Source organism: Homo sapiens, chromosome 6 (genome assembly GCF_000001405.40).
Source record: "Homo sapiens chromosome 6, GRCh38.p14 Primary Assembly".
Lineage (NCBI taxonomy): Eukaryota > Metazoa > Chordata > Mammalia > Primates > Hominidae > Homo > Homo sapiens.
Genome location: NC_000006.12, coordinates 90,890,279 through 90,914,126, shown reverse-complemented (window position 1 = coordinate 90,914,126; position 23,848 = coordinate 90,890,279). Strand labels below are relative to the sequence as shown.

The 23,848-nt window shown below is 40.7% G+C and overlaps 1 long non-coding RNA gene across 1 annotated transcript in view, besides 1 other annotated feature; it reads right to left on the bottom strand.

Annotated features, from left to right (window-relative positions):
* LOC107986623 (uncharacterized) overlaps positions 1-23,848 on the bottom strand; it is a 324,476-nt gene that overhangs the window by 41,745 nt on the left and 258,883 nt on the right. Inside the window, exon 3 of the long non-coding RNA XR_001744259.1 lies at positions 5,966-6,071. This is a non-coding gene — a long non-coding RNA (uncharacterized LOC107986623). The remainder of the gene's footprint in view (positions 1-5,965; positions 6,072-23,848) is intronic.
* Positions 5,411-6,610: an enhancer, noted in NCBI's record as "MED14-independent group 3 enhancer chr6:91617235-91618434 (GRCh37/hg19 assembly coordinates)". NCBI's record gives its function as "activates an origin of replication core promoter dependent on BRD2, BRD4, P300/CBP and CDK7 cofactors, and independent of MED14, by STARR-seq in HCT116 cells {active_cell/tissue: HCT116}" and the evidence as "EXISTENCE:reporter gene assay evidence [ECO:0000049][PMID:35650434]".

Sequence of the window (23,848 nt, the reverse complement as noted above, 5' to 3'; positions counted from 1 at the left end):
AAAGGGAGGGGATTATTTTAAACAAGCAATGTTAAAAATCCTTTTAAGTATCACAGTACCCCAGATTATAACTGCTTACTACTAAATCAACAATGCTACTAACACACCAAAGTTGAGTATTAATAAGTAAAAGGGATCTAATAAACAAAAAATACTCTTTTTAGTATGAATCTGAAAAATCAACAACCAAAAAACAAAAAAAAAAGAAAGAAAGAAAAACTTCAGGAATACACTCATTCTCTGGAATCAAAGTTCAGTCTCACCCCTTTTATTTCTAGAATGAACAGTCTCAAGAAATGTCTATAATGGGCTCTGAGATGAGGTCAAGAATGAGGCCACATGCACTGTTCCCCATTTCTGGCTGTGAAATGTGCTATAATTCACATACATCTCTCCCCACAGAGGTCTAAGGTGAAGGAAGCTATATTTTGATACAGTACTTTGGGATATAAAACAAGTATGGAAAATACGACCAAAGATATTTAGCTCAATAAATTAGTTCTTCTCTGAACTCTCCCTTAAGAAGTAAATAACTATGTATTAGATATGCTTTATGTTCCTAAAAGCTTAGTTTGCTGACTCTAAGTGGAAACTATATACATTGTTCTTTATGGTACTTTTATACAAGAAAGTATAAATAATTTCCCAACACTAGTTCATTAATCCTTGAACACCTCATCAGGGGGATGGTGAGGAGGAGGGCGAGGAGTATGAGAAACACATGATAAATGTGCTCAGTGGGGTGGTTAAGTTTCCTAGTACTGATTTTATTTTTGTCTTGAAACATAAAATAGTGCATGAGTCCTGCTTGAACTAAGAGTAGGAACAAGAACAGCCCCTTACTGCTAGCTTTGAACAAGTCACTTTGATCCCTATGTCTGAGCTACACACACCTCTGAAATAGCAGGGTTTTGTAAAATATGTCCAAATTTCATCAGGCTTTGATATGTTCAGATGAACTAAATTATTGCAAAGGCACTTGGCCCCATAAGGTGATCTCAAATGGCTACCAAAACTTCATCTTAAAATACGCATGGAAATTATAAAATACTGTCCCATAGAAAGGTCAATTTGTTGCTAGATCCACAAATTCTAATATTCCCAAACACTAGCACAATGCAGACTACGTAATTTGCAGGCAGGATACAAAATGAAAATGAGAAGTCCCTTGTCCAGAGAGCAGAAAGGAAGCTTTTCCTTTCTTTGGCAGTCTCGTCCTTGACCTATCATGGTGTTTTGCGTTTGCTCTAGTACTGCACTCCCTCAGACATGCCTAGTTCCATTCTTTACAGAGATCCAATATGGTGTGAGCTGCTTGAGCTTCAGCTCCTGCCCACTACTCTAACTTCACATTTCCCCGTCCATGGATATCCCACTATATGTTTCAAGATAAATTTCAAAATCAAAATTATTATTTCAGTATACTTTAAAAGCATTTATGTATGTTAGAGAGGGGAAGAATATGTCCTTCTACTCAACTACTCCATCAGGGAAAACTTCTACCCAAACTTCAAAAATGCAAATTTTAAAAACCAAATGAAAACGCTGATTGGAATTATGTGCTATAAGACATGAATTAGTACCTTACATTTGATAACTGAACAGAAGCCTTAACTATCTGAATTAGTTAAGTTTCTGAATAATTTTCTCTGTTTTGTTTGTTGTTGTATTAACACATGAAAGAGCCCTGAGTCCTTAGATCACCCCTGGGAGGGTGACTTACTATAAAACATAGAAGTTATTTTCTCCCACTCAGGGTAAACATGTCCTTGGTGTGTCTAAGATCTGGGTTCTCACTCCTGTGGGACATCAGGCATGTCCCAGGTCCCATCCCTTTGGAGAAGAGTTATAATTAGATTCACATTCCTTTGAAAGGCCCAGCAGACCTGGTCCAGGAGTGGTCTCACAGAACACTGGTGCAGGGTAGATAAGCAATATAGGCAGAGGGAGCCACAAGGGTGACTCGAGATGCCCACAATAGGTAGCAGTTGCATGGGCCGGGGGACATAAAACTGGTTATAATTAAATTGGGGAAACTAGCCTGAGTATTATACAACAGTTCATATTTGTTTTATTATGGTAGCTCTTCACATTTGAACTAAATTCTCACTATCTGAACCCAGAAGCTGAAAAAATTCAGAAAATGAAGAAGTACACACCCACAAGGATGAAGTGCTTTGTCCACCTCCCATAAGAAGGAAGTGGCTGAGGCTATCCCAGAACCTAAAGCTTATTATTTTAAGTCTGTTTATATGCACAGGAGATAAGATTTCATGACTTTTCTCTGAGTAAACATTATACGACAGAAGCTAAGTGCTGCTACAATCACTACAATTGCTGAATTGCTGTCCATCTTTTACAAATGATAGATAAGGCTCATTTATCATTTAGTCATTTATTTTACATACCTCTGTTTTCTTCTCAGGTGTCTGCATCATTCCCAATATTATCATTATAAGGATATACATAGCAGATTGAAAGCTAATGATAAAGAAGTGTCCATTTAATTTATATTTTGTACATACAAAATATACTTACTTTTATACAGCTTCATCGTCATAAACATTGTTTTCCAACAATAAGTCCAAGTATCTGGTGATTTTTTTTTACCTTCCAAGTGCAGAAATCTTATCTTTAGAGAGCCATATACAAGTGGAGAAGAGTTGGCTATTTGTACAGTGTGACTTAAGAGATTAACAGTACCCCTACTGACATCTAAGAAAGGAGGTGCCATTTCTTCCCAGAGGCTGGACCACTCAACAAGAGAAAGTGGGAAGGAGACAGCAGGCTTCTGTATAAAAAATCAGAGGCAAGTGGAGGAAGCAGTGTTTAGTGAGCCCCAGAACAGGGCAGGTATGGTCCTCAGTCCTTTCCTGCTACCTCATTGAATCCTCAAAACACCTTTCCAGTCTGACAGATGGGGCAAAGGGCAACAGGGGTCTGAGAAGATCATTAATATGCCCAGAGCCATACATAAAGTGAGGGCAGAATAAGAGCATAAATCAATGTATGATTAAATCTCAAGCTCTGCTGTTTCCATCTAATCCTGCTGCTACTTCAACAGCAGCATAAAACACATGTGCGCACGCGCACACACACACGCGCGCACACATTTGCCTAGGAAGCAAAGAAGAGTTCTTGGGGTTTTATTTAGCTTTCTTACAACATCCAATTATCCCAATTTCATTTATCAGATAAGGGGTTGTCCTGTCCTGGAAGACAAAGAGAAGCTGACCCCAAGACAACTAGGTAGAGAATAAATCAGTCTAAATGGAAACGATGATGCCAAGGGGGCCTACAAGGCAGAGGTTCCTCAGCAGATGGAGGTCGGAGGGCCCTAAACACAGTCTTTGCCTTTTCTTCCAGGTGTGGGCTCCAGTCCTTACTGCATTTGATATTTCCACCTACGCATCCCTCCAGCTTCTCCTGTATCCATCCCTTAAGCCCCACAGCATCCAGACCTAGAAATCTTCAAGGGCTCATACCCATATTTCTTTTTAAAAGTTCAACAACAACAAACTCTCAATATGAATATGAACCTTTTATTTCTTCCTGTATGCTCTTTTTCTGTTAGAATCATCCTAAAAATAAAAGGAAACGAAATCAATCCTATTTCATGTTCGGATTTCAGCAATGTGTGAGAATTATTTGAGCCATTTCCTTGTCCTATATAGGGAAATATGTTTTCCATGACATGGTTGGCTGGAACCACATAGGTAAAATAAAATCTTTAAACTACTTCCCTTCAGATCCAGAAATGATGAGCAATTTGACATCCTGTATCCCCCCAACTACAAACTAGAAACCTCTCTGTCAGAAGCTATTCTTGCAATATTATACCTCTAATGTTATGGGAAGTTGTTTGAGGCAAAAGGCAGCCGTAATAATGGGATTGTGTTTTGAAAAAGAGCTGGCTCTAAGGCCATGCTGTAAATGAAAAACATCATAAAAGGAACGTTACCACTCTTAAAAAACAGTGAGACTGCTGGAATAACTCATTGCAGTCTATTTTTATAGTCCCCTAATTCTGTTTTTAAAATCAAATGCAACTCTAAAAAAATAGCTCACTTCAAGTTGGGAAGAAAGCCAAACCTATGCAGTTTATAGAGAACCTCAAATCTTACCTGTTAAAATTCATTCATACAAACAAGCATGTATTGAGTACTAACTATATGTAAAGTATTGAATTAGTTGGTGCAGAGCACTGCCCATGCAGTATTTGATAATCAAGTAGAGGAAATAAGACCTATCCATAAATGAATGATAGAAAGTATAAGGAGCTAAATGCCCTAAGAAGAAAACAAAGGAGTAATGGGAGTGAGAAGTTGGAAAAAATCATTTCTGGCTGTGGGGATTCTGGAAGGTTTTATGAAGGAAGTGCATTTGGGCTAACTCTTGGAGGATGGGGACAAAAAACACCATTGGCAGGAGACACAGCTTGAGAGAAGGCAGACATGTAGTTCATGTCCATAATCCCAGCAGTTTGGGAGGCTGAGGCAGGAGGATTGCTTGAGCCTAGGGAGTTCAAGACCAGCCTGGGCAACAAAGCAAGAATCCATCTCTATAAAAAAATTAAAAAATAAAAACTAGTGCATGCCTGTAGTCTTACCTACTTGGAAGACTGAGACAGGAGAATCACTTAAGCCTGGGAAGTCAAGGCTGCAGTAAGCTATGATCGCACCCCTGCACTGCAGCCTGGGCAACAGAGAGAGACACCATCAAAAAAAAAAAAAAAAAAAATAGGAAAAGAAAACGAAAGAAAAGATATGGCAGATGTGACAGTGTGGAAAGGCAAACAATTTTATTCACCTGGAGTCTGAAATAAATTCTGGAGACAAGGCTAAAAGATAAACTAGGGTATCATCTGGAGAAGACAGGATGGTGAGGCCAGACATGCAGCAAATCACCTAAGCAGAAAGCAGACTAGGAAGTTCTAGTTGGCTGCTTGAGTCACCTGCTTTTAAGGAGAACACAATGGGGACTTACAAATCTAATACATAGTCAAATAATAAATATGAAGGTATGAAAACAATTTTTTGCTTTGGTTGTTATGATGTTCAAAGTTAACTCTGAGGCCCTTCTGTAGCAAAGAAAGAGGACTCGTTGCACTTACTTTGTAAACTCCCTAGTTTCTGGTTTCATCTTAGTTTTCTTAGTCTCATTTTCCTATTTCCCCACATAAAAATATATTTCACATTACAGATTTTTATTATAAAGCAATAATCTAATAAACAGATACAACATAGAGATATAAAAGGACAAAGGAGGGAATGGGAGGGTATGCCTCCAAATGAGTTCATTTTCCAGAAGTTATGTAAGTAACACTTTCCAAACATTATATACTGTTCTATGTAGTATTCCCTAATAATCATTGACTAACAAGTTCTATAATTGCTGAAGCCAGAAGCTTGTCCCATATGTAATTTTATATAGCTCTTGCTCTATAAGTACAAGTGAACATTACTTTATGTAGTACCATGTCTTTTATAAAAGAAGAAGTGAAATTCTTACCATGGCATTGTTAGGCACTGTCAAGCAAAAACGTTTTGTTTTTGTTTTTTTTTTACCAGATTCAAAGCAACAGCCAGATCTACTTCCGCAGTGCCCCAAAATTAATGTCTACAACAGCATTCTGATACTGCCAAGTCAGAACAATCTGGCATGCCCAAACATGACATGACCATTTTAGTAGCAGTGCTGATGGATCATGAACCATGCACTCTAGGACATGAAGGACCTATGCAGCTCCAGCTGATTCATCCTTCATATCCTCCTAAATGAGTGGGTATTTTGTCTTCATTAAGATATAAATCTGAGTACTAAATATTCAAACTTGGATGGAGCAAGGTGGCAGAATAGAAGCCTACACATTTTTAACCCCGACAGGAACATCAAATTTTAACAACATCTGCACACAGAAAAGCACCATCACAAGAAACAAAAATCAGATGAGCAACCATAGTACCTGATTTTAACTTCATATTGCTGAGTCATTCAGGAAGGTCAGAGAGACAGTCTTGAATTCCAATGCCACTGCTTCCTTATCCCCTGGCAGCCGCCAGTCTATGCACCTGGGGGAAAAAGAGCACAGCAACTGAGGGACTTTTTATTGGACTCAGTGCTGCCCTACCATAGTGGAGAGTAAATCTGTGCTGGACTCAGCTGGTTCCCATGCATGGAAGGAACATCTGGACCAGTCCTAGCTAGAGGTGAATCACCCATCCCATCAGTGGGAACTCGAGTTTCTCAGCAAGCCTGGCAACCGCAGGCCAAAGTGCTCTGGGGTCCTAGGTAAACGGAAAGGCAGTCTAGGACACAGAGATTGCAATTCCTAGGCAACTCCTAGTGCTGGGTCAGGCTCAGAGCCACAGGACTACGGTGGCACATGACCTAGGGAGACACCAGCTTGAGGGCTGAAGGAGTGCTTGTGCCATCCCTCCTCCAACCCCAGGCAGTGCAGCTTGCAGCAGTGAAGGTGACTCCTTCCTTCTGCTTACTAGGAGGGAAACAAAGAGTAAAGAAGATTTTGTCTTGCATCTTGGATACCAGCTCAGCTACAGCAGGATAGAACACCAGTGAGAGTCATGAGGTCCGCATCCCAGGCCCTTCTAAACACACCCTGGGCCAGAAGAGAACTTGCTACCTTGAAGAGAAGGACCCAGTCTTGGCAGAATTCATTACCTGTTGACTAAAGAGCCCTTGGACCTGTAATAATCAGCAGCACTACCCAGGGAGTACACCGCGGGCCTTGGGCTCTGAGACATGCTGACTACAGGTGTGACCCAGAACATTCCCAGCTGTGGTGGCTATGGTGCAAGACTCATTCTGTTTGAGAAAAGCAGATGGAAAACTAAAGGGGACTTTTCTTGCACCTCAGAGACCAGCTTGGCCACAATGGGGTAGAGCAACAATCAGGCTCTTGGGACCCCTGAGTATAGGCCTAGGCTCTTGGACAGCATTTCTGGACCTGCACTGGGCCACAGGAAAGCCCACTGCTGTGAAAGCTGAGTCCCAGGCCTGGCAGTATTTACCACAAGCTGACTGAAGAGGTTGGGCTTTAAGTGAACATTGCTAGTGGCCTGGCAGAACCCCTCCATGGGTTGTTGGTGGTGGTGCCCATAGAGAGAGGCTCCCTTGCCTGTGGAAAGAGAAAGAGAAAGGAAGAGCAAGAAGGACTTTATATTGTGGTTTGAGTGCCAGCTTAGCCGCAGAATAGAACATTAGGCAAATTTCTAAAGTTTTTATATTCCAATCCCTGGCTCCCAGACAGCATCTCTGGACATATCCGGGGCCTAGGGGAACTCACTGACCTGAAGGGGAGGATACAAACCTGACTGGCTTTGCCACCTGCTGATTAGAGCACTAAGGCCTTGAGTGAACATAGGTGGAAGCCAAGTGTAGGTACAGCAGGTCCTGGGTAAGATCCAGTGCTGTGCTGGCTTCAGGTCTGACCCAGCACAGCCCCAGTGGTGGTGGCCCCAGGAGTGCTTACATCACCTCACCCCCTATTCCAGGTGGCTCAGCACAGAGAGAGAGACTTCGTTTGGGAAAATGTAAGGGAAAAGAACAAGAGCCTCTGCGTGGTAATCCAGTGAATTCTTCTGGATCTTATACAAGACCACCAAGGTGGTACCTCTACGAGTCCACAAAAACCACAGTGACATTGGGATTGGGGCCCATGTCCCTTTGGATACCTGGAAGCCTTCTCAAGCAGCACAGTCATAAGCCCAGAATGTGACAACTACAATAAAAACCTGACTCTTCAGTGCCCAGACACTGACGAACATCTACAAGCATCAAGATTATCCAGGAAAACATGACTTCACCAAACTAAATAAAGCACCAAATACCAATCCTGAAGAAAGAGACATGTGACCTTTCAGAGAATTCAAAATTGCTGTTTTGAGGAAACTCGAAAGAAATTCAAGATAACACAGAGAAGGAATTCAAAATTCTATCAGATAAATTTAATAAGGAGATTGAAATAATTAAAAAGAATCAAGCAGAAATTCTGGAGTTGAAAAATGCAAGTGACATACTGAAGAATGCATCAGAGTCAAGAGCAAAATTGATCAAGCAGACGAAAGAATTAGTGAGCTTGAAGACAGGCTATTTGAAAATACACAGTGAGAAGAAACAAAAGAAAAAAGAATAAAAAAACAAGGAAGCATGCCAAAAAGATCCAGAAAATAGCCTGTAAAAGAGACAAATATAAGAGTTATTGGACTTAAAGGGGAGGTGGAGAGATAGGGTAGAAAGTTTATTCAGAGGGATAATAGGAGAGAATGTCCCAAACCTAGTGAAAGATATTAACATTCAAGTAGAAGAGAGTTATAGAATACCAAGCATCTTTAACCCAAAGAAGACTACCTCAAAGCATCTTATAATCAAACTCCCAAAAGTCAAAGATAAAGGATCCTAAAAGCAGCAAGAGAAAAAAAATGAATTTTCAAGCCACTCACGTATGCCCCTAATACTTTCTGTTTACTTCAGCATTGCTTTAGTTGTAAACTAGCAAACGTCAGGGATTATATCTATTTAACTGTATGCATGCTGAGACAGGTTAAAAGTAAATATGAAACCAATGACCAAGTGGTTTGCCTTGTTCTAGTTGAAACATTGTTGTATCCATGTGAAGCAGTAAGAATGAAAATAAAAAGCAGGGATAATTAGAGTTGAAGTTCCTCTAGCTCTATAAATATTTGCTATGTGCATTGGGAAGAGATAGTTGATTACACACATGGTCGGCTGGTTGGCTGTTCTACCTATTGCACAGTATCTTCACAGCTATTGAAATAGATGCTTAGTTGTGAAATACATGCCTGCACCCTGGGTGTGTATGAGAGAATAGGGGGAGTGTAATGTACTCCTATACCAGCCTACCCAGGGGCGCAAAGATAATCCCTACTTTTAAACATGGATACATTTCCTTAAGTGATTTTCTTGCATTTTCTTGCATATAGATTCTTCAGCCAATATCGTCCCCAAAAAAGTAATATCAAAAAAATAAAAGCAGGAAGCTTTCACATTTCTACCTGCATTAACATGGCAGAACACAATAGTTTTGAAACTGTTTCTGCTTAATAAACACCCACATTTGCATTTGAAGAGTACCTCAGGGTGCCATAAAGTCAATACAGCATAGATAATTCTGAAGCCAACCCTTCTCCTTCTCTGAAAGGTCTTTTGACTATAAAAACCAATTTTAATAAAAGGTATCTGTGTCCATTACACAATATACTTCATTATAACATGTTTGTCCAGAAGACCAACTTTAAGAAATTCACAATACATTAATTATTAGCCATGACTGAGTACAAAAAAAAAATCATGTGCTCACGGCTCTTCTAACAATGGGTAAAAACAAGAAATGGAATTAAGTTAATGTAGGATAATTCCTTAGTTGCCCATCTACTCTGGTCATTGTAGGAAGAATGGGGTTAAAAATGAAGGTCTTCTCATAATCTGTTAAAGACACTAACAAAGATATTGAAGAGAAAGCCACACAGGGAACACTTTTGGCTAGAAGTAATAAGATTAAATGACAGTACTCTAAATGAAACTCCAGAAATGTCTCTGTTCATAGCAGGAGATGGAAAAAACTAGGATCCTTCATCCAACATGCCCCAAACTAAGATTATCAGCTCATCTGAAGTGACGAAGCTCATTGTATCAGTCCATTTTCACACTGCTGTAAAGAACTGCCTGAGACTGACTAATTTATAAAGGAAAGAGGTTTAATTGACTCCCAGTTCAGCATGGCTGGAGAGGCCTCAGGAAACTTACAATCATGGTGGAAGGTGAAGGGGAAGCAAGGCACCGTCTTCACAGGAAGGAGAAGTGCAGAGTGAAGGGTGAAGAGCCCCTTATGAAACCATCAGATCTTGTGAGAACTCACTATCAGAAGAACAGTATGGGGAAAACCACCCCCCATGATTCAATTACCTCCACGTGGTCTCTCCCTTGATACGTGGGGATTATGGGGGTTACAATTCAAGATGAGATTTGGATGGGGACACAAACCCTAACCATATCACTTTTAAATGGTGAAAATTTATAAAGCACACATTAATATCAGAAATTTAATGTGTTTGCAATTAGAGCTATTCTTCCACATTTTTGAAATATTACTTCTTCAGAGAGGCCTTTCTTTACCACCCTATCCAAAAGTAGCTACTTCCTTCCATCTTAGTCTTGAAAACCTCTTTTACTTTTCCTCATAACATTTATCTACCACTGACATTTGTATGCTTTTTATGTTTAGTGTGTGTCTTCCAATTAGTTTGTAACTTCCAGGACAGTGAGGATTTTACCTGTTTGCTGTGCCTAGAACAGTGCCTGGCACATAATAGGCACTCAATATTTGTTAAGTGAGTGGATGAATTAATCAAATTGAACAGGAATTAGGTCAATAGGAGTCTCTCCCTCCTTGTCTCCCACTGTGAATTCCTCCAACCGTGAGGGCAGTGGGGCACCTAGTCCCTAAGGAGTGCTCTGTAACTATTTTGGAGGTGACTGGTGTATAGACTTCCTACCACTCCTGTAACAAATTATCATAAATTCTGTGGCTTAAAACAACACAAACATTATTTTACAGTTCTGTGATCCAGAAGTCTAAAATCAATCCACAAGCTGAAAATCAAGGTGTTGGCAGGGCTTAATTCTTTTCTGTAGCTCTAAGGTGCGTCTGTTTCTCACCCAGCTTCTAGAGGCTGCCTGAACTCCTTGGCTGGTGACTCTCTTCCACAGAGCAAGTCCTTCTCACATCTCATTCTTCTGACCCTGTTTCTGTGATCACATCTCCGACTCTCTTCAGCCTCCCTCTTCCACTTTTAAGGACCCTTGTGATTATGTCAGGTCCACCTGGATCATCCAGGATAATCTCATCATCTCAAGATCAACTGATTCGTAACCTTAATTCCCACCTGCCATGTAACATTCATACTCACGGGTTCTGAGGATTAGGATGTAGACTCCTTTGAGGGGCCATTCTTCTGGTGGGTCAATGAGTTGGTGAGTAAAAAAGCAAGTGAGATCTGAGAGAGTGAGTGCATGCACCCACAAGCCAGTGAAAAGACTGAACTACACCGTGGCTGAGTAGGTTATATAAGGCTGGATTAGCAAGGCCTAAAATACTCAAAGATGTTTTGTTGTTGTTTGTTTTTTTGTTTGTGTTTTTTTTTTTTTTTTTTTTTGAGACTGAGTTTCAGTCTTGTTTCCCAGGCTGGAGTGCAGTGGTGTGTTCTCGGCTCACTGCAACCCCTGCCTCCAAGATTCAAGTGATTCTCCTCCCTCAATCTCCTGAGTAGCTGGTATTACAGGTGCGCACCACCAAACCTGGCTAATTTTTGTATTTTTTTTTTTTTAGTGGAGACGGGGTTTCACCATGTTGGCCAGGCTGGTCTCGAACTCCTGACCTCAGATGATCCACCCACCTCAGCCTCCCAAAGTGCTGGGATTACAGACGTGAGCCACTGCGCCCTGCCCAAAGATGTTTTTACTTAAAAAGGAGACACGGGCAATCCCTGAATCCACTTTTGGTCAAGGAATGAGATAATGAAATCTGAGTTTCCCAAACACTAGTCAGTGTTAGATACTTCAGAGAGAAATGGAACTAGAGGCAGTGAGACCAGAGAGGAAGAAGGTGTGAAGAGACTTGGACATAAGAGAGATGGGTCTGAACTAGGGAAAAGAAGAGGATCAATGTGAGACATTCTCCAGAAAATGACTGAGTGATGATGGGGGACCAAAGAGACACAAGTCAACGATGTCTACAAGACTTTGAGCCTAGGAGATTGATGAAGAGACCAAGAAGTAGAAAGTGGAACTAGCGTTCAGACATGAAAGGTATTTGGCTCTTGGAACTTGAGGTGACAAGATCTCTAGTTCAGTTTCTAGCCAACCAAAATTTGGATAAAACGTCAGGGCAGAAAACCATCACTTTAGACTTGGAAGTAAATAATAGTCCCCAAGAGGTAATGTGATGATAAAGAAGCTTCCTGGCCTAGCTGCAGCCAGTCATCTTGAGTTTGGTTTACTTGGAATGAATCTCACCTGCATTCTAAGCTCTTCACTCCATTGTCTACCATGCCTGCTCTCACAGCTCAGCACAGTCATCACAGACACCTGTAGATGGGCCATTCTTAAGGAACAGTCACCTGTGCTCTGATTTCTGGTGCTCAGCCATATCTTGATATCCTCCTGGGCTCCAGCCAAGTTCAAATGAAAGTTTGGGTTATTAATTTCTGTTTCTGATCTCTGACCACTGTCACAGATGTCCCTAAGCCCTTGTTAGAACTCCTGTGTGTGAATCCTTGCTGTTTCTTGCATCTACGGAATGCTTTTTCCCTGACCTCTCTTTAAACTTTATGGACTTTCTGCCGTTATGATCTCTAGTGCTTCATCATGGTTTTTCCCACTATTTGCCTGTACCTTGATTTTCTTATCCCGTATTTACTATGATCTGGAGGTAACTCAGCTCCCTGCAATGCATAGAACAAAACTCCCAATCAGTATGCAGAAGCACATGGATGTGCCCCATTGGGTTACAGGTGTGCCAAGAGATTGCTATCCTCAGACCACATTCCCATCACCTTCAGAATCAGGCAGCCTCATCTGGGAACCCCCACGTGCCACACAATTATCATCACTTTCAGCACTATAAAGCACGAGTCTGTAGTAAAGATTGTAGAGAGGATGAAGAGCAGAAAGTAAAGTCAGAGGGGAGAGAAAGAACCAGGAAATAGAGTGTCATGGAAGCCAAAGGAGAAAGACATTTCAAGAAAAAGGAGGAGGCAGTAGTGTCAACTGCAGCAGAGCGGCCAAGAAGAATGAAGACTAAGAAAAGGCCACTGGGTCTATAATTTTGTAAGTTCATTTTTCATGTCAAGCAAACAGTAGATTCAAAAAGGAAGTGTAGGGCTAAAGGGAGCTAGAAAAAAGGTCAACTTGATGCCTGAAGAAGCAAAAGAATGTTAAAAGGTATCAGTAATGCTTTACTAGTAAGTCCCAAAAATATGCCAGAAAACTTAAAGCTATCTTCAACTAGCAATAACATAACTAACAGAAATCATTTACATAACTGAGGCAGCTTATTAAGCCAACCATAACCGTCAACATTTGTTTAAGTATCTCAAAACAAAAAGGAATGAGAGGCAAGAGCTTAAGATACATAAAAATTAATCCAATTCACAATCAAATGGAAATGCCATGGGCCCAGAGAACATTTATGTGTGGGATTTTGTTTCAAGACCCTAAATTTAACAAGCTGAAATTAAGTACCATGGCATTCAACAGTTAGAAATAAGGAACTTCCCTTTAATGGGATATTTTCATTTCATTTTTAAAATGAAGAAGAAAATAGGAACAAAGCATCCTTAGTCTCCAGAGAAGCAAGTATTTCTTGTGCTATAAAGATAAGCTTTGTAATGGGGTAGAAGGGAATTGAAGTTATCCCTTCTCAGCCTGCTTCACAGTCCCATCCAGGCATTCCAACCCAGACCATGTTTCTTGCTTGCAAATGGAGGCTTGATGCTGCAAGTTGTACAGGCAGCTATGTAAGCATGAGTGAGATTACATGTCTTTGGGAAAAAAACCAACTCATATTTGCAACCTGCATCTCAGTACACAGGAGTGTTTTATTAAACACCCAGTTGCCTGTCTCCAATGGGAGGCAGAATGATAAAACAGAATTGAGTAAGAGCTTTGGATTCAGACAGAACTGAGTTCAAATATTGACTTCAATACTTAACTGCGTGATCTTGGGCAAATTACTCTCCCCAGATCTAGGTGTAGCACTTTTAATATCTAACTTAGAGTGTTACTGTGAGTGTTACTGTATATAAATGGCTTAGCACACAGTTATTTGTACTGGTTCTTACCCCCTCCTTCACCTTAATCCATTTTCCACTCCTGTTCCCTGTAGAACCATTTTTCAACCTTGGCCCGCCTCCTCTGACCTGACCTCTGTCCTCTTCAGCCCCATGTTCTGAATGGTTTAGGGCTTTCCAGTAGGCCTCTCATACTCTGGCCCCAGCTGACATTTCAGTCTGAAGATCTACTAGGAGTTGGCTCTCTGGGAAGCTAAGTATCAAGGGAGACAAAATACCAAGAAAAGAGCAGTTAAATGACGTACACACCAATGCCCATTCAACTAGAATTGCTGGAATGAAACCAGCGTCACTCAGTGAATGAGCAGGACAGTTTTCAGCAACCCAAGTTGCAGTCAAAAACCCAAGCAATGCAGTCTTTTATTATCTGGAAAGGTACTCTGGCCAGCTTGTATCTCCCAAGTCACTGCAGTAAGCAACCTTGCAAACCTAATAAAACTTCAAAAGACCCAATAAACTTAGGGGAAAATAAGTCTCCTGATATACATCACATCGTTCTCACTGGGCTTGGCTTTCCTCATCTTAGTGCAAACTCTCAAAGAATTGATCTAAGACTTGATTACTTGATTACCTAGAAGCAAAGAAACAACATGGAAAAATGTTAACTCATTTTTCACCTTCTTATGTATTAAATTTATTACTGAAAATATCAACTGATGACAGGAAAAAAGTTAGAGGAAAATGTGACTGGATCAATTCAAATACAGGGTAAAGCAAAGCTACTTTGCCACATATGATCAAGCAATGAAACTGAGCTCTCTGTAAAGTTTTAACTTCCTGCTTGCTTTAAGGAAATTTAACAACACATTCAGAAAACACCTTAAATCAGTAATAAGTAGCTCAAATTGTAAAAACTGATGGAAGAGAATGTGCTTTAAATCCTATTCCCAAAAGCTTGAACTCTTTTGAACCATTTCAGTAATTTAATTAAGAAATCTATTAGTGATAAACTAACACATTCTTAAGTCAGATTAACAGTACTCAGGACATAACCATGATTGATGGCTGTTGGGTAACACAAAGATCATTCCTAGAGAGAAGATATTATTCTGAAGTAGCCTCTTAGATCATGTACCCAGGGTTGTGATTCTAGGTTCAAAAGATTTATAACTATACATATCTTACAAATAAAAATAAGACAAGGAGAATAATAGAAAAACAGAAAGTCAGTGTTAGAGGAAGTCTAGAATTGAACGCTTACGATCATTGAGGAGGAGACTGAGGCCTCAAACTTGCCCAGTAACACAACCAGTTATTGGCGAAATCACAACTAACAGGTGTTCTACTGACACCTGGTCCAGGCTGTGGATGTGTCATATTGTTACTACCGCATGGCTCAGGCAACATCTAATGACTGGGGTCTCTGCTGAGTCTGCTGGCTCAGCCAGTCAGTCCATGTAGGGTTCAGTCACAAATCCCCAGTCTATTCAAAGCCTGGCCTGCCTTGTCCATCTGTCAGCTCAGACAGTCATGGGGTTTTCATGATATACCAACCAGTCTATGGCAGAAATGAAATAGCAAAGTCCCACTGATTAAAATTTAAAAACACTAATATCCATTATTTAAAAATCAAATTATACAGAATATTTAAAAAAGGAAAGTTTTCTGTCGTACTCCCCATTCTGAGTTCTGCTACTCTTTGGAGTCACAGTTTAGTCATTGGTGGTCATAAATATGTCCAATGTCTCTTTCATGATTTCTCAATTATAGATATTAACTTTTTGACTCAGTGATACAAAAGCTGAGAAAATTACCTTAATTATATTTTCTCCCTTTCCCTCCCCAACAGGTGTTATTAGCACTATTATTTTTAGTTTTTCTACTGCTTAACTTTATAACTTTAAATAAGATCTCTAAGCCTTCATATGTTATTTCATTAGCTTTTAATTTTCTCTCTTGACCATCCATTACATTAGATGAAGAGATTACAGCCCCACCCTACATCACATCTCCTGCCTACCATCTATTCCTACCTCCTGACTTCTGTCAACTTGACCATTACTTTCACTTCACAGGGTTTATAGCATTCACATTCTGTTCTGTAACTATAGTTTAATATTCAATGTTTTGTTTGTAGGCTGATGTTAAAAAGTGATATTCAGTTGAAATAGCACTCAAATATTTTGATGATGATTATTTTTCACTACAGAAACAAGGCATGTCATTGGACCTGAAGAGAATGAAACACATTCTTAACAGCACCAAATCTCCAGGGAGAATGATGCAGTGTGAGCATTTGAGTACTGAGGCACCCCAGTCTCAGAAGAGCATTAGCATTAGAGCCCACTAAGAAAATCTTCCTTGTGATAATTATCTAGGAAAAAAAAAGCTTCTTACTGCCTCAGTATATTTTAATGTTCAGCAGACATACAAAACTCTGCTCACTGCAGCCAAATCTAGCTGCAGATATTTAAAGCAATATCTCAGATTTTGCATAAACAAATTAAAGTTTATAGCAAAAGAACTGCAACAAAAAGCGGGAGCTCATATTCTACAAAGGGCTTGTACCTTCAAGTTCAACTTCTGTTTTTGCTAAATAAATCATTGTGAATACATCAATATATTCCCTGAGCCTCAGTTTCCTCATCTTAAAAAATGAGGTTAAAACCACCCTTCACATAGGCACATTGTGAGGATTAAGTTAGAAAATATATGGAAAAATGTATCACAAATTATAAATTGCTATGCAAGCACAGGTATTATAAGGAGCACAGGATGCTGCTTCCAACAAAATTGAAATGCAGTACAGATGCCTAACATCAAGTTAAGGCCATTTGGAGATAAAACAATCAAAATAGTAGGTGCACAAATTGGTGTTACATTCCAGGCAGGAATTTAAAACTGCTCAACTTGACATTAAGAAACCTGCTGTTTTAGATAACTTATTCAATACATCAATAATTTTATGCAAGACACAGACTCAGCAAGGAGCCTTGTTCCTCCCTGCTGATTGTCAAGGACAGTAGTTGCAAGAACTACCAAATGGAGCATTTCATTGGTCAAGAGAGGACAAAATAAAAATGGGCTTTAAGGTTTTGTGTCATGAACCTACACCTGAGTCCATGTCAATAGTAAAGAATGAACTCAGAGATCATTTCAAGTCTCTTCAAAGAGAATTTTTAAATGTCTAGAAATGTAGGTTTGTTGAAAACACCGTTAGTGCAGCTCTTTGGACAGTCTTCCCAAATGTTAATAACAATCCCTTTTATCAGTTCCAACACATACAATACACAATCCTACAGGGTTGCTAGAGTATCATTCTAATTCAAAGGACTATGAAGACCAAAGAATCAGATCCAATTACCCTAGGGATGTAAAAGTGAATCCTAGGTCTAATGATAGAATTATCTATGGCATAGGTTACTTTGTATTCCACTAAGAACCCCCAGTTCCAAGAAAAGAGAATACCGAAGAATATTATTCCTCCAACTCAGGGGGAAAAAAAAAAATTTTAACTTAAGGGTTCCATGTCAGTGCTAAGAGTTTTCCTTCCGTATGTGCCTTTTCGTAAGGTTAATACAGACAACCCTGGGGACAGAAATCATTAAGCTCTTTCTAGGGTCTGCTGAGACCAAAATATGCCCAAGAAACATCTGCATACCAATAAGCCAGTTGCCATCCAGTGCAGGAAGATCGGACTCATTAGAACTACAAACCTGCTGAACTCTGGTCATCTTCATTCATATTAAGAGGATGTCTCTTTTACCCTTTATGGCAACTGGATTTTTCCTCAGCTGTTGATGAGAAGAATCTCCGTCTTTATTGAGTAGATATTTCCCTCAAGTGTTGCTCTCCTTAATGGCAATTTTACCCTATTATGTGTATTTCCCAGGGAGCCAAAGAATGTTAATGAATGTCAAGCCCACATTTCTCTCAGTGGCTGGATTTCCAAATGTGGTTAGAGCAGTGGACTGCTGCAAGCGCTGATGCTAATCAGGCTCCATCTGCACAGGAGGCTGCTTGCAGAAACAGACAATTATTTTGCTCCGTGCAGGGCTGCTTGGGGAGGGGGAGCAGCTGCAGAGAAGTAAATTCCCAGGGCTTAGGATGATTAGGGCCCCCCCAAAGTACACTTAAGTCTTTGAAATAAATACCAAAAAAAAAAGTTTCCAAAAAGCATGAAAAGAAAATCTTACTCTTTGGGTCCCTTTACCATTTATTTCAAAGCCTTTCCATCAGAGGAAATATTTCTCTCCAACTGATTCAGGGACGAGGGCCCAGGCATGGAGAGCTATCCCACTGAGTACTCAGTAGTAGGGGAGTAGCTTTCCCTTTCAACTAAATGAAGAAGTTCTGGAAAAGGAAGCCACAGAAAATGCTGTGCCATTGACACTTGAGAGTGAAGAATATTAAATATCTCACCCGTTGAGTAATCGTTTCTCTACTGCAGTGTGCCCAAGGGGGGAAGTCATAAATGAATTACTGATCATCATAGGAATGTTGAATTTACAAACCACCAGACATGCTCTCTGGTGGCCTCAGTTCCTCAAATGGACAAATTTATGGCTCTTTAGATACTGGGAAACTCTAGCCCAAGTAATCATTTGACATCATTATTTTGATGTTGAGAAAATAATAGATGATTGTGCTTCTCATGTTTCACCTCAAGCCTTGAAATAATTTGAGGGAGGAGAGGGACACATGCACGCCACCAGACTGCAGGGATCACAGAGGCAATCTGATAACTGCAATGTTGGATAATCTAAAGTGCTGCCCGTTTCACCACATACCACTTCAATACGAGTTTGACTAACAGAAAAGAGCAATTGTCACATCATCCCTCGACCCTCAGAAATTCCTAACACACTATTTTGGGTTCCTGAAGAAGAAGCAAGATCAGACCAGAGTGCCAGGGTTTTTGTTCAATTTGGAAATTTCTAAAAGCCTCGTGTGAGCCTCAAAGAGGAGAACCCTTGGAAGGTCAGGGACTTGGCCCGTCCTAGGTCAGTGAGGCATTCATTAGCTTTTAATTTTCTCTCTTGACCATCCATTACATTCTGGAAAACCAGGGCAGAGCTGGAGCAGCACAGAGGCTTTCCTACATTCTGCAGTTTCCCTGGTGCCCCCAGATGCTCCTGAAATAAGGCAAAATCCTTACAGGGCACAGCTTTTACTGGTGCTCCAGAAAAGACTAGAATCCCCAATCTACTCCACTCTGAATGATTTGGGGAGAGGCCTAGGGTCAGAGTAACAACTCACTAAGGCAGAAAGAAAGAGAACAGAGAGGTCTCCACACACAGCTGGGTACTTGGCACCACCAAACAGAGACTCAGTTCTGAGATCCACTCAACGTCAGTGAAGGCTTCCCTGCCAAGGAGCCTGCCAAGGCTTTTCCTGAATGACTATTTAGCAAACTGATAAAATTGGCAGGGTTGTATTAACACCTCCTCTGGAAGGATGGACCCGATAGCAGCTGACACAGAAAAGCGGATAGAGGGGGGAAAGATCTGCCCACTAACCAAGAAAGAGGAGAGACTGGAAAGATGACAAACACCTGTAACCTACCCCCTACTCCACCAGCCTTGAATAAGAGCAGAAAGAAATAAAGAAATTAAAGTGAAAATTCGTCCTCCAAGAAACAACAACCGATGAGGAAAATAACTCAATTTGCATGTATAGATAGAAATTATAGAAATGTATTGCTCTGATGTATGGTCCAGAAATACAGAGGGAAATGATGTCACTGCCTACAGCAAGTCTCCTTGCATCCCATGCGGATGACCTGGCCACAGGAAACCCTGGCAGTGTGACAGCACAGACGCTTATCTTAATCTCGATCCCATGAACTCACCTGGCTTTATGCTAACTTCACTTCTGTGCTCTATCCTTAATCCTGAGTGACGGTTGTGGAGCTAGACTAGGAAGCAGACAAAGCTTCTGTGGACTTGATGCAAAATGTTTTAAGAGAACTTTCACTTGAACTGCACTCTGATGTTAAGGTTTAATAATATCTTCCCGTTTGTTGCCTCCTTTAATCCTCACCATAATATTCAGAGGCAATTCTCCTGTCTGTGGGGTAAGGATTACAAGTCTCATTTCTCAGGTTCAAACAATGAAGCAAGGAAAACATAAGTGAGTTTTCTGAGATTACTCAGCTTCTTAGTGACAGCAATGGCATCGGAAACTAGACCATCCAAAGCCCAGTCCCACCCTCTCTCCACCAGCTCATTAGCAACCCAACAAAGAAATCCCCGAGACTCCAATGGGCAATGAAAGCAAGAAAACAAATTAAATGTGAGGTTCCTTATGGTTTTGATGTTTATGTTGTTATGCTTTGTTTTATTTTATGCACAAACAAGAATAGCAAAAAAGGAAACTAAATGGAGGCTGAAGCCTCCTCCTCTGTTAATGTTACAAATGCCATTTGAAATCGGCCTTTACTGCACATAGACTTGGAAGCCACAGCTGACCACTGAACAGTTGACGAGGCATAAGTGAGATGATGCTATAGGGAAAGGCCTAGCCCTAGAGCATGGTGCTTTTGAATTATTAACTGGTTTACTGGTTTTGCATTTCATTTGTCTGGTGGTTCTCCTCCTGTCCTGTCCTGCCTTGCACATTTACAATGTTTCCCCTTTCCTCCCTCGAGTAGCAAGGCCATCTGATACTTGCTTGTTGCACAGAAGAGGAAGCAGCCACTCAGCAGCCCTCCACAAGCCCTTTCCCTCACGCATGCCACAAGGCCTCCTTGGAGGGATATCGGGGTGTAAGGGAAGCATCCTCCAAGTCTCGTTCTGGCCACTGAGTTTTCAAAGTTCAGGCTTCCCCAACAGATAGAGAGGCCTCCTCACTCCTCCCAGTCTTAAAGAGTCCCTTGTGCCTTGGCTGAGATAAGGGAAGAGCAGACAAGAATCTGTAAAAACTCATCTTTGGTGAGCCAAACTTATCTTTGGTGAGCCCTTTTATGAGCTGAATTGTGTCTCCCCAAAATTCCTATGTCAAAGTCCTAACCTCGAATGCCTCAGAATGTGACTGCATTTGGAGATAGGGTCTTAAGGAAGCAATTAAGTCATTAGAGTGAGCCCTCATCCAATATAACCGCTGTCCTTATAAGAAAAGGAAATTTGGACATAGGTTCAGAGAAATAACCATGTGAAGACACAATGAGAAAGCAGCCATCTGCAAGCCAAGGAGAGAGGCCTCAGAAGAAACCAGCCCTCCTGACATCCAGCCTCCTGAGTCGTGGGAAAATTAAATTCTGTGGATTAAGCCACCCCATCTGTGGCACCTTGTTATGGCAACCCTAGCAAACTAACACTAACCTCAAAGAAAGAAATCATTAGTCTTCCCAGCTGGTTGTAAGCCAAGGCCCTAGGGTGAGAGAGACACTTAGAAAAGTGGCTTAGCTTTTTTATACCTTCTTCATTCATCATATAGCAGACTCTCAAGGATTGTTTACTATAATTGTTACTCAGAATGAAAACCAGATTGTCAATTTTTCTGTGACCCCTCAAGGTACCTCCGGGCAGTAAATTCTCAATAAATGACAGTATTGGTCCACTCTCATGCTGCTATAAGGACATACCTGAGATGAAGTAATTTATAAAGGAAAGAGGCTTAATTGACTCACAGTTCAGCATGGCTGGGGAGGCCTCAAGAAGCTTACAATCATGGCAGAAGGGGAAGCAAACACATCCTTCTTCACATGATGGCAGCAAGAAGTGCAGAGTGAAGTAGGGGAAAAACCCCTTACAAAACCATCAGATCTCTTGACAACTCACTCACTATCACGAGAACAGCATGAGGGTAACCACTCCCATGATTAAATTACCTCCCACCAGATGTCACCCCAGCACTATTCAGATTACAATTCAGATTACAATTCAAGACGAGATTTTGGGTAGGAACACAGCCAAACCATATTAAGAACCAACTAAATGTTCCAAGATTAACTGTTTTAACAAAGGGGAATTTAAAACATAATACTCATGAAAAATAGTAAGTTCATATAGCTGCCCGAAAAGCAGGTGTTTTGAATTGCTGACCATCTAGCTGTTAAAACAGGTACAAATAAAACAGAAGTCATAGCTTAAGACAAATTGGAGTCACCTGTTTAAAATAGATTAAAATGGGGCTCTAATGGTGTTCACATACCATTATTTAGCTGTTGGTATGCACTCAAAATATCATGGAAAATGAAGCACGTTTGGACTCAGAAACACAAAATATCATTATCTAGCAAATGCTACCACCTCAGAAAGGAAAATAAAAAGCAAGGGACTGCATTTTATTTTGCATTAATATATGACATTTTCTGTCTCAGGGAAGTTCAGAGCTGTGGTGCTCTTTTACTGTTTATGTTTTGTGTGTGTGTGTGTGTGTGTGTGTGTGTGTGTGTGTTACCTTTTTTCTTCTTATGCATTATGGTTGGATGTAATGATTGTGAGTAAAGTTAATTCTTAGAAAGGAACAGTCTTACCTCATACATATTAATAAGTGCTTTCTTTGAGAAGCAATGACAGCCCTTGATACATTTTGACGAAAATGAAAGGGGAAAAAAAAACTGGCACCACTATTAAGAACACCCCTGAGGTGATAGAGAGCCACATCTTTGATACATCAGCCTTGGTCTCAATGCACACACTTATTAACTCACCTGTGCACCAAGAATTAGAATGAGCTCCTTCTTTAGACACATATTCTTAACAGCGGTCCCAACAGACATGCTGGAACCAAAAGCAGGGCTTCCATGTGGGTTGGGGTGTAATTTTCTCACAGTCTCACAGTACAGTTTGTACCGACAGCATCTCTCAGCAGATTAGAGACAAGCAGCATGGAAGTGATCGTTAAAAAGCTCAGCAAGGCCAAAAGGGTGGAAAAAAATATCTCGGCTCCAAGCAAAATGCCGTCCTTTACTAAGAGAAGGGCATGAGGTTGTGCCTTCCAAATTATTGCCTCAAAGATACCAAACTATGTGAAATAGATACACAGGGACAAACGAGTGCCAACTCCAGATATCCACATTTATATGACTAACGTGCCTTTTCCCTCAGCGAGCCTCGGAGTGCTTTGCAAACACTGTCTCATTAATCCCCTCCGACTCCCTGAAAGGAAGTTGGGTGCTGGTAAGTACTATTAGGTCACTGTAGTTAGAGATGCAGCAACACAAAGAAACCCAACTAAGTGCTGAAAAGGTTTCAAGAATGTAATGCCTTGACTCTCGGGCCAAAAGCATCCACTGCAGCAGGGTCGTAATTTAGAGGAAATAATAAAAAAGAAAGTGGATGCAAAACACCCTATAAGTATTTTTCCTCCCTTTACTATTTGGCTCTGTATTAGCCCAGATCCTTGAACTCCCTAGAAAGTGACACCCACAGGGATGACAGTTGATTGCAGGAATGCTGGAAAGAGGAGGCAGCCTGGGGAGCTGCCTCATCAGCTGCCAGAGCATTAGAAGTCCCGGGGCTTTGACTGCATGGAAACTGGGGATGGGGGCTTAGCAACATTCAAAACCACCTGGCTCAAGGAGCCTATTTAATAGTCCTTTGTTCTTTCCCCTAATAATACTTTTTTCCCCTAAAAGTAGAATAGTAATAATAATAGCTAACTTCACTGGTTAGCTGTTGCTGCATATCAAACCAATCAGCTCTTCGTGCTTTTAAACAATGATCATTTACTATCACTCATACATCTATGCATTGGCTGAGGTTCGGCTGGTCGAGGCTGGACTCTCTGGGCAACTCTGCTTCAGGCTGCAGCACCTGGTGGCCCCACTTCTCCTTTGACCACGTTTAGGAAACCAGATGACTCCATCTCTAACTCAGAATGTATTTCCAGTCACACCTCTGTTTGTACTAGGGGTTCAAGAGTTAAGCCATATAAAAATGAGGGTATCTTCCAATAACTAGATACTGAAAGGAAAAGATTCTGTTTCTCAGGGGTGTTTGAATACCTTCAGTTTGATATTATTTAACCAATATAGACAAAGGAGTCAAATATCTGGCTTCAAACACCTTGCA